General features: G+C 31.7%; 1 protein-coding gene across 13 annotated transcripts in view; it reads left to right on the forward strand.

Annotated features, from left to right (window-relative positions):
• The window catches only part of NBEA (neurobeachin), a 730,467-nt gene that overhangs the window by 159,320 nt on the left and 557,087 nt on the right, over positions 1 to 14,060 (forward strand). For all 13 annotated transcript variants that reach the window (XM_047430271.1, NM_001385012.1, XM_006719803.4 and 10 more), the window contains 2 exons: positions 7,701 to 7,853; positions 9,221 to 9,389. In XM_047430271.1, coding sequence (XP_047286227.1) covers positions 7,701 to 7,853; positions 9,221 to 9,389 — 322 coding nt within the window. The remainder of the gene's footprint in view (positions 1 to 7,700; positions 7,854 to 9,220; positions 9,390 to 14,060) is intronic.

Consider the following 14,060-nt stretch of genomic DNA (forward strand, 5'->3'; position numbering starts at 1 on the left):
ATTCTGGATACTAGTCCCTTAATAGACGGATGATTAACAAATATATTTCTCCATTCTTTGGATCACATTAATTTGTATTTCCTTGATGACAATAAAGTTGAACATATATTTATTTTCCTTTGGGATATCTTCTTTTGTTAAATACCTCTTTAGAGTGCCAATTTTCATTTGGGTTGTCTGTCATTTTGTTACTGATTTGTGGAAATCATATATGTATTTTGGATGTGATTACTTCATTGGATATACACTGCAAATTATCTCTTCTTCTTTGGTGTGACTTTTCACTCTCTTAATGGTGATTTTTGATAAACAAGTTACTAATTTTAATATAGGTTAAAATTTTCAGTTTCTTTTATGACTAGCCCATTTTAGACCCATATCCTGAAGCCATAAGATTATTCTGTTTCCTTCTTAAAATTTTGTTTTATCTTTCATATTTAGATCTATAATCTATCTGGAATTGAATTTTGTATATGGTATGAGGTATAAGGGTCAAGGTTCTTTTTTTCTATAATCTATCTAGAATTGAATTTTGTATATGGTATGAGGTATAAGGGTCAAGGTTCTTTTTTTCCCCCATGTATGTCATCTAGCTGGCCCAGTACCATTTTTTGAAAAGATGATTTCCCACTGCATTGCAGTCTAATCTTTGCCATAAATCAGATGACCATGTATGACTGGGATTTTTTTTGTGTGTTTCAGACAGTACAACAGTATTTTAATTTGTATAGCTTTTTAGTATGGCCTGATATTTAAGAGTATGTCATCTAGCTTTACTGTTGTTCTTGAAGATTGCCTTGGCTGTTTTTGGGTCTTTCCATTTCCATATATATATATCAGCTTATCAACTTCCACCAAAAAACATGAGGATTTTTATTGTATTATATTGACATCTTTCCTATATTGAATCTTTCAGGTTATATACTTGGTATATTCTTTTACTAATTGAGATTTTCTTTTGTACTTTTCTGTATGGAACAGTTTCTGTCTTTTTGATGGATTTATTTCCAGGTATTTGATATTATTTGATGCCCTTAAAATTTTAATATTTTACACTTGATCTTACCCAAAAGGCCAAGAAGCAATTAAAAGTTTTGATTTTTGTTACTGGTACATAGAATTATAATTGATATTTATGTTGAACTTTTATATACCAGTCTTTCTGTTCCTCTATTAAATCTAGTCATTTGTAGATTTTTTCAGAAAAATTTTTGTAGACAATAATAACATTGGAGAATGATAGTTTTGTTTTTTTCCTTTCTAATTTTAGGGTTTTTTTCCTTGCCTTGTTATGCCACCTAAAAAGTGCCAGTACAGTGTTGGGATAAAAGTTGTGATAGTGGCCATCCCTGTCTTATTCCTGATCTCATGGGCAATGCTTTTAATAATTACACTAAGTATGATATTTTTAATAGATTACTTTGTGTGGATTTTTTAGTTAAATTAAGGAATTATCTATTTCTGGTTTCCTAAGAGTTTTCTTTATTATAAACAGGATTTTATATAACATCTTTTCTGTAGTACTTGAGATGATTAAGATGTTTCTTTATTTTTCTTAATTTAGTCAATTACATGGATTATTTTTCAGATTTTAAACCTTCCTTATATTCCTGGACTCTCGTTTACTCCTAAACCTACTCCTATTCCAACCTGGTTTTCATTCTTACATGTCCTTTAAGATGGCTCATGTCTTTGTCACCAGTGGCCTTCATAATCTGTCCTGTGATTATTTCTCAGTTCTTATCTTATTTGACCTGTGAATATTTCAGTTGAACATTCTTTCCTTCTTGAAATGCTTTCTTGCATTGTGTTTTGTGATGGCTTGCTTTTTTTTTTTCTTACTTATTCTCTCTCATTAGTTCTGCTTCATCTTTCTAAATTCTGATGACTGTTCTGTCCCAGTGATTAATCCTGGAAAGCGTTTCACTTTTCCATCTACACAGTACCTTACTCTAATTGAGATTATCCACTTCTACAGTTTCCATGATCCTGTAAATACTAATTACTCTCAATTGTTTCTCCTATTTTTAGTTCCACTTGGATTTCTGGTAATCTTCTTGACTAAATTATCCAAACTGATTTTTCTCTTAATTTTTCATCCTTCAGAGTTCTTTATCTTATTTAGTGGCATTACTATTCAACAAGTAGTTGAAACCAAAAAGTTAATTCTTTTTGACTCTACTTTTTTTGCGCTCTAGATCCAAACTCAGGAAATTATGTTGTCTTACTGTCAAAATGTATCCAGAATCAATTACTACTTCCTCTTTACTTCTCAGCTCCTTACCATGTCAGTTGATATCATCTTAGTTCAAACCATGATCATCCTTCACCATTGGTTACCTACAATCCATTTTTCACTTGCAGTTAGACTAGTTATCCTAAAATGTGCCAAATCTTATTCAAGTCTTCATCCTTCTCATAATGAAGTCATAAGCCTTATACCTCACTTCATCTCTTCCCACTCTTCTTGCTTTCTCTATTTTAGGCAAAGGTCTTTTTGCCTTTTCCTTAAGAACTAAAATGGTAAACATTTACCCAAGGACTTTTGCATTTACTTCCCCCATTGTTTCCATCACTCTTTCTTCAGATACTCACAGACTTTGATTCTATGCTTCATTCAGGATTTTGCTTATATGATGCCTTATCACAGAAATATTCTCCGATCATTCTAAATAAATTAGTATTCCTTCCATAACCATCAGTGTTTACCTATGCTGCTAATTTTGCAGCACCATTCTGGCATGTTTTATATTTTTTACTAATTTTCTGCCTCCTTCTGCTAGAATGTAGGCTTTATGAAAGCAGGGGCAATGTATATATATTTTTGTCTCCCCTTATTGCTGTATCTTCAGCACCTAGAACAGTGCTTAGCTCAGTAAATGGTTGTTGAATTGAGTATATGAAAAGTCCTTGTATGCTTGTCTGATTACCTGCAAAGAGTAACTTTTTTACCTTTCTTGGAGGAGTGCTCACATTTTGTTATTTTTAAATAATCACTGGCAAGGTTAGTATTAATAGTATAGGTAATAGAAGTTTCATTTTTTAATTTCTTAACTAATAACAGGTTACTGGTTAACTGCCACTTAGCTTTTATATCTCCTTGTCATAGAAGATGTCTTAGGAAGATAGTATATGAGAGGCCTTTTTATTAATAACAATTTTACTGTTCCACGAAAAAATTTTTAGGTGTTTTTGTTCTGTTTTGCCAAAATGTGATCTTGTGGGAAACTTAGAGGTTATCCAGCGTATTCAATAGGATATTTTTGATTGTGGTTAGTAGAAAATTTGATTCAAAGTATCTTAAACATTAGGAAAATATACTAACTGATGTAACTGAAAGCCTAGTGTTAGATGGCATATCAGTTATATTCTTGGCAGGGAACAGATGGCATACTCAACCTAGGTTTTTGAGAAGACTTTAATGCAAGGGTATTTAAAAAGTTGTAAGCAGGGAGCTTGGCAAGATTTGAAGAGATGAGGGAAATAAGTGTTTAGCATAACCCAAAGAGAAAGTTATTGTAGCTATTAGGAGAAGGGTACCTGATGGGAGCGTGGTCTTCAAGAAAGGAGTATAGTGTAAGTGTACTGAAGGGGTAAAATCTGGAAAATATATACCCAACTTCATTTTCTTTCTGTCCTTTAATTTCTTGCTAATGTCTTCAATTAGTCAAACCCAACTGGAAACCAGTAGGCAAGGGAGCATCCCAAGCATAAAAATAGGACAGGGAAGGTTGGAAAGGCAGCAAAAGGTTGGAAAAGCAGCAAACAGTAAGTTGTGTTTCAGGGCTGGGTTATCTAAGTCTCAATAATGTCATCAGAGACCCAGGTTTTATCTATATCTCTGCTGTACCAGCTACAGTGTTGATTTTATGCTAAAGCTGATACTCTTTGAGGTCACAAGGCTGCCAGAGAGAATTGGCGCTATAGACCTTCACATCCAGGTGAAGAAAGCGAGCTCATTTCTGTCAATTACTGAGCAAGATTCTTCTCTCCAATTTGATTGGTTAGCTTAGAGCTTGGCTAGCCTACCTTTGAACCAGTTGTTGCTATGAGAATGCTAAACTTTGATACTGAATCTCTGAGCTGATCATTGCCTGCCACCCTCCCCTCCACTCCCTACCAAAACAACAACACATGATTAATCTGGTTGGATTAGGCTATTTGGAGCACAACCTTGGAGTCCTGGGAGGAGCAGAATGGATAATAGACTATAAGGTACCTCTACAATTACAATAGTTTTACACAATTTATTGAATATATACTCATACACATTATATGTATATGTGTGTGTGTATATTATGCTTTCTACAATAAAAATGAACATTTCTGATAACCTGTTCTATTATGGGCTAATCTAAATGTTGGAACAATCTCTCTTTATTGAATAGAAGTTTCTCTTTGTAACCTCTAGTGCTCCTATTTGGTTTAGTTAATTCTGGAGTGGATGCTATAACGCAACTATTTGTATAACTTCTTAGATATTATTTCCAAATATGGTTAGCCATGTCACATATAGTACTTCTTAAAAATTATGTATTCTGCCACCACATGAAAGTAATATATAGATCAAATTCCAGAGCTTACATTTTCTGTAAGATTTAAATTGTATTTCCATCTAAAGGTTACAGATTTATAACTATAAATTATCCAAGTATAGATCTCTTTCTAAAATAGCTTTACTTGAGAAAATGAAAACAAATACCAAAATATAAAAATATTTTAAAACCGTTAATCAAAGGAAATACATTTAAAAGCAGAGTCAGAGATCTTCTTTCTTCTTTTCCCAGGCTGTGTTTTTTCCTACCTATTCTATTCTTACTGTTTTTGAATTTGACATTAATTCAGTTAAACATTTCCTGAGAAATTAGGGTAGGGATCAGGAGGATAAAAGATGAATAAGATAATATCCTTTCTTATATTAGGAAAGAGATTTCTTTTTTACACTAACAATAATACAAGGAGGAAAGATAAGTACTACTAAGAGGTAAAGGTAACATGCTGTTGAAGAGAATATTCATTTATGCATTTATATACTATTTACAATCCAAAATTGTAGGATTTTGAGTAGGTCAATAAAAAGACACAATTTTAGAAAAATATTTTCCAAAGAATAATTTTAGAATGCAAATCTGCTACCCAACAGCATTAATTGGTATGCGAAAACAATGGCCCCCTCCGCCTTTTTTTTTTAAAGTAATGTAGAAGGCCTTGTGATGCTTCTAGTATACCTTTTAATATCATGGTCCAAGTTCCAAACTTGTTTCTATATTATGAATTCATCAAGTGGATATGTTTATAATGGTCAGCCTGATTTTATAATATGGGTTAATGTTCTTCATGAGGACATGATGAATAATTTTTATGAGCTACAGTCTGGTCACCTAGCATGTTTATCTAGTAACAGGATCTGACTGTATTCTATTTTAGAGTTTTAAGTGTAAGAGTAGAATGTATCAGATCATGTTCTTGAAATCATTACTACTGAATAAAAATAGAATGTATAAGATAAGCTATGTGAAATTATAATTAGTGAAGGAGCTGGCTACAGTTTTAAATAACTAGTGATCTCTTATTTTAATTTCATCCCTTTACAAATATTTTTTAAAGTACTATATTATTTTCATTGATATTCCTTTAAATATGATTACCCGATCTTTACTTTTTAAACTCAAATACTTGTTTTGGTTCCCCCCCCTTTATTAACTCAGCTATTTATTTAGATCATTTCCACCATCTTCTGTAAAATTTTCATTGAAAATTATGTACTAAGGTTTGGTTTGAATTTTGTAGGCTATTGCTTATGTAGTAAGCACCATTGGTAATTTTGTCAGACACATAATTCTATTATATTAATACTAAATCATTTTTAACCTTATAATAATTTGAACCAATTAAGTGGCCCCCTTCTTAGTAAAACCTGTTAACCATCCTTCTGCAAATGTTTTATCTGCCCCATAGTTTCTTCCATGAACTTAGTAACCTCTAACATTTTACATATTTTACCTTTTTATTTTATTAACTATGTGTTCCTGCCTTATCATCTCTTAGAATATGTTCTGTGAGGAAGAGTTTTTTTCTTCAATTTTGCTAGCTGCTTTTTTGACAGTGCCAGGGAGCATATTTGACTAATAGTGAGTAATCAACATGTATATTTTCTAAATGACTAAAAGTCTTGAGTTCTACCTTTAAGGTAAAGGAAATGTATGCAAGGGTGTTACAAACTGGGGGAGCAACATGGTAAAGCAGGGAAGCAAACGTGTCCTGTGGGTGAAATTGGCCCACAGTAATATTCTGTAGGACTCAGCAAAGAGGTTAGTTTTGGTCCTCACCAATCTTTATTGTCTCCTACTCTAGTTTACACATTGTTGTTAGTTATTTGCAATCATTTTAGTTCGTGACCGTTTATGTAGAAGTGTGAAAATTCATGAAGTGCTTAAGTCAAATATATTGAGTTATCCTTATTATGAGCATGAAAAATGTAGCTAAATCATATGGGAGGTAAAATTGGTAAGACAATTTCATCCCTTTTAAACTTAGATTGTTTTAAACTGATATTCAGACTTCAGTTAGTGAAGAATAGCGAGGAAAGATGTGTTGTGTGATGTGTGCTTCAGGATTGAGTGATAGGTGATTCTTTACCCTATGACTGAAAGGATAGTGATACTACAAAATAGTATCACTAGATGAGGAAGAAAAGATTTATGTAGGAAGATAAATTTTTTGATATTTGAGTTTGAATTATCAGCTTTTATGAAGAGCATTTTTTTAATATTATAGCATTTTTATCTGAAATTGTATTCTAGTATAGCATTGTCCAATTAAATTACAATTCAAGCCTCAGGTGCAATTTAATATTTTCTAGTAAAAAAATACAGGTGGTATTAATTTTAATAACGTATTTAGCCTAGTATTTTATTTTGATAATATGCAATATATTATTTCAACATCTATTCAATAAGAAAATATGATTTTTAAAAATATTCTGAGCTGGAAAAACCCAGTTTTTTCATACTTATGACACATCTCACTTTCAATTGCAATATTCCAGCAGCTCAATGGCCACATAGGGCTTCTGGCTACTGTATGAGATGGTGCAGCTTTAAGGTTTGGTTTCAATTTTGGAGAGTCTGTTGTTTAAATACCATTGGTAATAGGTACATGGTGATAGTAGTTGAAAATTCTTGAAGCGAGTGTTCAGCATAGACATAGTGTTATATGAAGCTGTGAAAGCATACTATATCATCCAAGGATAGAGTATTTATGGAGAAGAGAAGGCCAAGGAAATAATATTTTAAGCAGTATTTTACATATTTTTAAGCAGTATTTTTACATATTTTAAACACTATCACTTTTTATTTCTATGTCTAAGATCTCTTCTTGTATGTCAATTTCTACAAAAAATGAAATGAAGCCATTATTTATAACATTTCATTTCTTTAGCTAATAGTAGAATTATTTAACTTGAATTATTTATCTGTAATTGTCTTAGATCAGGCTTCAAATAACAAGCTATCACTCAAAGAAATAGCTGAAATTTTAGATCTCTTAAAGTTATATTTTAATAGCAAAGAAAACAAATGTTTATTTCATATTTATTAGGGATAGCATATGAAAAATTCATGTGTCCTTATGCTAAATCAGAAATTATACAATTTGATATTCTGGATGTTTCAAGCTAGAATTTCTGTTTTCTTTCTTAGTCATCAAGAGTTCATATAACTAGAGCTGTCCTGGAGCAATTTTTATCTTTTGCAAAATACCTTGATGGTTTATCTCATGGAGCACCTTTGCTGAAGCAGCTTTGTGATCACATTTTATTTAACCCAGCCATCTGGATACATACACCTGCAAAGGTATGAATTTTATACTTATTCAGTTTGATTTAGTGTAATGTTATACATTATAGTTGCTGGATCTATAGTATTCAGTGGAAAACATTTGAACATTTTAGCTTATTTTATAGTTAATCTGTGGCAATTGTGTTAGGCAGTATCAGGAGATCAAAATATTTATAAGCAGTAAAATAAATGAAACAATAGGTAAAAAAGAATCTTTGTGTAACACTGCATTCTAACATCTTTAGATGTGATACTTACTTTTCAATGAAGAAAATTTGCTATACCAATTTTTGAAAGACTAGGAAAGAGAACAGATAACTAATTGTATTATGACTGTAATCATTTTGCTGGAAAATTGCTTTCATTTTGAAGGTAGAATTTATATCATGACATGTAAATAATACTAATTTAAAAATAAATATATACATGAATTAAATATTTTCCAGATAATAACAGAAAATTCTTATTGTTTTATATACAAGGATTTAGTCCTAGTTGAAATCAATAATGAGGGATATTTTGATTTTGAGCTATCTTTTATAGTTTAAAAATATCTCACCGAGTTATTAATTATTGCCTAAGCCCAAATCTGAATTTTGACAACTCTTTTTTTTTTTTTTTTTTAAATGTTTTTTTTTTTTATTATACTCTAAGTTTTAGGGTACATGTGCACATTGTGCAGGTTAGTTACATATGTATACATGTGCCATGCTGGTGCGCTGCACCCACTAACGTGTCATCTAGCATTAGGTATATCTCCCAATGCTATCCCTCCCCCCTCCCCCGAAAGAAGACATTTATGCAGCCAAAAAACACATGAAGAAATGCTCATCATCTTTGACAACTCTTTTAACCAAGGTGTCTGACATGCCATCTCTATGCTCACATGGTCAGATTGTGAAAGCGAACTATATGTTATGGCCATAGGTGAGGAGAATTTGAAATTGCATGAACTTTTAGGATATATGACAAAAATATGTATGTTTTCAGATATGCTTTAGCTGACTGATGTTCTATTGCTATGAAGAAATTTTTACATTGAAAGCTACTGAAATGTACTTTAAGAGCTTTAGTTGACTTTTAAAATATTTTAATCTTTTTATCAGATTAATTTCAATAAATTATTAAATCATTTTAAAATTATTTAATTGCCACAGCTGTTGGACTACCTCTATTATGAGTTTATTAGAATATGTTAATTGCAGATTATATATTTTTTAAATATAAATAATATTGAAGAAGAAAGTTATTTTTAACCTCATAATAAATGGTCATTTCTTGGTCTTTACTAATTCACATTTAAATTAAAACTGAATGTATATAATATGAGCACTTGAGGCATTTTAAATTCATTTTAATGATCTGTTAATATTCTGTATTAGGTTCAGCTTTCCCTATACACATATTTGTCTGCTGAATTTATTGGAACTGCTACCATCTACACCACCATACGCAGAGTAGGAACAGTATTACAGCTAATGCACACCTTAAAATATTACTACTGGGTTATTAATCCTGCTGACAGTAGTGGCATTACACCTAAAGGATTAGGTATGTATACCACTTCCACTGTATTTACATTTGCCTATGATTATTCTGTATTCTGAGTACTGTTAAAGTGAGCAGTGTACATGACTATGAAATCACTGAAATGTTTTCTTTCTTATATAGCAAACTGGCATATTGAGAATTGTTTGTGGTAAAGAAGTTTAGGGCTTTTCAATATTAAATTATTTCGGAATAAAATCAGTTAAAAAGCAACAATAGTCTTTATTTTAGCCTGTATGCTTTTTTTTCATTCAGGAAGATACATTCATAATATTAAAAACAGATAAATGATATTGGTTATAACTGGTGTGTTCTAGTACATCAGTTGCTTTCAACATTTTCAGATTGTTAATTTTTTATATTTTATTCCAAATTTATCCTTTGTTCTGACTATAATGGAAACTAATTCTTCACTGTGATTTTTTTTTTGAAAATATAGCCAGTTTTTCTAATTATACAAAAAATATAGAAAATAAAATAATACAGAAGAAAAAATATATTTATGACCCAAACCCCAAGAATAATTACTGATATGATTTTGGCATGTTTTCTTCCAGTGTTTCTCATTGCATACATATATAAAAATATTTAAACTTTTTAATTATAGATTGAGATTTTCTCAATTTTTCTATGTTGTTCTTTTCTCAGCTCAATGTAGTAATGTAAGGGGATGTACCATTTACATCGTTTCTAAAGTTTTGATTCTGTAAATGTTAGAGCATTCTCTCATTTATATATGTGTTTACCTCCATCTTTGATTTGTTTAAAATTACTGAGAAAGGGGCTAATGACAAATATTTTAAATTTTTTTCAGGAATGTCATATTATTTTACAGTTTTACCAGTATATGTTAGAGTACTTCCTTTTGCGTGCTCACAATAGCATTGAATATTATAGTTTTATAATAATCCCGTTGATAAGGAAAAATAACACTTTCCTTTTTTTTTTTTTTTTTTTTTGAGACGGAGTCTTGCTCTGTCACCCAGGCTGGAGTGCAGTGGTGCTATCTCAGCTCACTGCAAGCTCTGCCTCCCGGGTTCATGCCGTTCTCCTGCCTCAGCCTCCCGAGTAGCTGGGACTACAGGCGCCTGCCAGCACGCCCGGCTAATTTTTTTATATTTTTAGTGGAGACAGGGTTTCACCGTGTTAGCCAGGATGGTGTTGATCTCCTGACCTCGTGATACACCTGACTCGGCCTCCCATTTTACTATTCTAATATTTATATAAGCTTACTTTTATTTCTTTTTATTAATGGGGCTTTAGAAGTTATTTATACTCAGATCTGTTGTTTTGTCCTTTTATGGCTTCTTCCATTGCTTTTAAGTTAGTAATGCCTAAAATTTATTGGATTTTTCTGCCAAGCACTCTACATGTTAATTTGTTTAATAATACATATAATGTAATTATAGATAAATAGACATATTCATATACATACATAAGACTGCATCTATATATAACTTTGTTTTTGATATTATCCTCATTTTAAAGATTAGGAAACTGGAAGTTGGTACAAACCGAACAGCACCAAAATTTGAATCATATCCATCTGACTCAGAGACCTAGTTCTTAAATGCTACACTATGATAGAGTTTTCTCTAGTCTAAACAAATCATATATTCACACATAATAATTTCTGCCTTAAAATATTAATTTCTAATTTACAGAAAAGTTACAAAGTTGCAAGCATTGCACAAAGAATTCTCATATGTCCCTCACCAGATTCTCAATATTTTACATCTTATCACTTTAGCCTTTACTATTCTCTCATGCTCTCTTTTTATGTATATATAAACACACCTACAGATATATACACATTTTTTTTCTGATTCGATTGGTAATAAATTGTAGACATGATACTCTGTCACCTCTAAATACTTTATTGTGTATTTCCTGAAAGGTAAAGGCACTTTGTTAAATAACCAGAGGACACCCATTAATATCAGGAAGTTAGCATTAATATGATACTATCATCTAATTCAGAGACCCCATTCAAATTTCACTAATTACACTAATAATGTCCTTTCTAGGAAAAAGAAAATTATTTTGCCCTAAGTCTGTTGAGGATCGTATGTTGTGCTTAGTTGCATTCTTACTTTTAATGTTCTTCAATGTAGGATAGTTTTTTAGTATTTCCTTGTCTTTCAGGACCTTGACATTTTTGAATAATACAGACCAGTTATTTTTTTGAATAACCTTAAATTTGAATTTTCTGTTTGTTCATGATGATTCAGGTTTTTTCATTTTTACAAGAAATAACACAGAAGTCATATTGTATCTGTCTCCTTGTATCATGTCAAGGAGGCACATGATGTTGAGTTGTCCTTTTACAAGTGATGTTAACTTTAAACATTTGATTAAGGTATTATCTTCCAGGTTTCTTCATTACAAAATCACTCCTTTCTCTTTGGTAATTAATAAGTATTTGGTGGAGAAATACATTGAAACTATATAAATAGCCTGTTCTTCAACAAAGTTTCACCTACTTGTTTTAGTTTGTTGATGATTCTTACTAGATTATCTTTATTGTGATGACTGACAAATGATATTTTCTAAGACATTAATTAAGTTGGCATATCTACTGTAAGGAAGAACTTGTTTTACTCCTCCACTCATCTATCTATCTATCTATCTATCTATCTATCTATCTATCTATCTGTCTGTCTATCATCTTTTATATCAGTATGGACTCATGTATTCAATGTGTTATATCAACAGTTAGCATACTTTCTTTGCAAAGGGCCAGATAGTGTTTTAGGCTTACGGAGCCATAAGGTCTCTGTTGCACATAGTCAGCTCTGACATTGTATTGCAGAAATAACCACAGACAGTATGTAAACGAATAGGTGTGGCTTGTTCTAGTGAAACTTACAAAAACAAGTGGCTTCATGGATTTAGTCCTAGGGCTGTGGTTTGTCTGTCTCCTGGGTTGTATCATTATTTCGATGCTCAAGATTTGGCCAGTAGGACCCTTCACATGGATTATGGGACAAATGCCCATAAGTTTTTAATACTATTTTACTTTCTGAAACAAGATGTTTCTGACTTGTCCTACACTTTCCTTATCCCGCCCTGAAATTAGCCATTTTTCCAGGAAGCCCTGGTTTGTTTGGTGGATATGGTTTTTAGAAACCAAGATGTGGATGTGAGGTGTGCTTCTTGGTTTTTGAATGTCATTGCTTCTACGTACTTTTAGTGGACAGATCTAGGAAATGATGTTTATATCTATGTATATAGGTACATCTCAACTGATTTATCTGTATTAAAACCATGAGTTCACAGCAGTACCTTCAATTCCAGTCCAAAGCCACATGGCTCAACCTAGCCTCAAACTTTTTAAATTTGCCGCTTTCTTCTTCAATAGTGAGAAATCTTGCTCCTATTGTCTTTAATATATTTATATATTTTCTTATTCTACTTTATAAAACCAGTGTTTTGATACACACGGCATAACCTTCTCAGCTTTAACATTGCTAGTCATCTGTAACCATACCCTCAGATTTGACTCTGAATGGCCCTTGTTGTCTCCTCAGCCCCAGTTGTTTCTTTGGCACTGCCACCCTCCTGACCTCTACTGTCTCCTTGGCCCTGACCCTGAAAGTCCTTCCAGACTCACTTGGCTCTGGCTCTGTAAGACCCTGGGTATCACCAGGGCCTCTGCTCCCTCCATAGAACCCTTGCCCCTGAGGCCTCACTGGCTCTAGCTACATCAAAGAGAAGGAAAGGAAGAGTACCAGTACATATATTTTAAATGAAAATGACAGGAAAGTGGAATCAGCATTTATTTTCCTTTATCATTTAAATTATTATTTTACTTTAACATTTTAATACTTTGAAATTAATTTTGTTATATAGTAGAATGTAAGGTTCTGACTTGAAGTATATACTTTTCTAAATGACAGCATTTTTCAATACCATTTTAAACAAATGCTTTCTTTTAAGGACACTCTAAAGATAATTTGCACTACACTAGCTTTCGTAGAACTATTCATGTGTAGGCACTCGCCTTGAGAAGTAGGATATTTTTGCTTTAACTGTAACTTAACACTTTTGTCTCTTAAATTATTATTATATATAGTTAAGTGTAAAAGCATTGAGATATATTAAAAATATTATAGGTCAGGTAATACATATTTATGGTAGCAAGTGAAATCATACAAAGGTTTATAAATAAAATGTTACTACTCTCCCAGGTAGCCAATGTTACCAGTCTTGTATATCTTTCTACTGCTTTTTCTCTGCTCATACAAACATGAGCTTACTCATGCATACATATAGGTGTTTCAAAGCTTTATTTTGAATACATCATGAACACAAAGTGGTATAATTACATATATCGATGTAATATATAAACAAGTTATAATTATAAATATAAATATAAAATGAACCTTATTTAAACATCACTAAGCCTAAGAAACAGAATATTACCAATGAGCCTGAATATTCTCATGCGTGTTCACACCTCTTTTCTACTCCCTGTCATAGAAATAACTCCGTCCCAAATTTTACGTTATTTCTTTTCTTTACTTGGGTGCTTATTATTTTTTACTATGTTTTACTCTTGCTATTTATGTATGTATTACTAATTTATTGTTTAGCTTCTATAGTTTACATAAATAGTATTATTTGGGGATTTGTTTCTTCATTCAATTTTATATTAGATAAATCCGTTTGTAT

The sequence above is a fragment of the Homo sapiens genome, chromosome 13 (genome assembly GCF_000001405.40).
Source record: "Homo sapiens chromosome 13, GRCh38.p14 Primary Assembly".
Taxonomy (NCBI): Eukaryota; Metazoa; Chordata; class Mammalia; order Primates; family Hominidae; genus Homo; species Homo sapiens.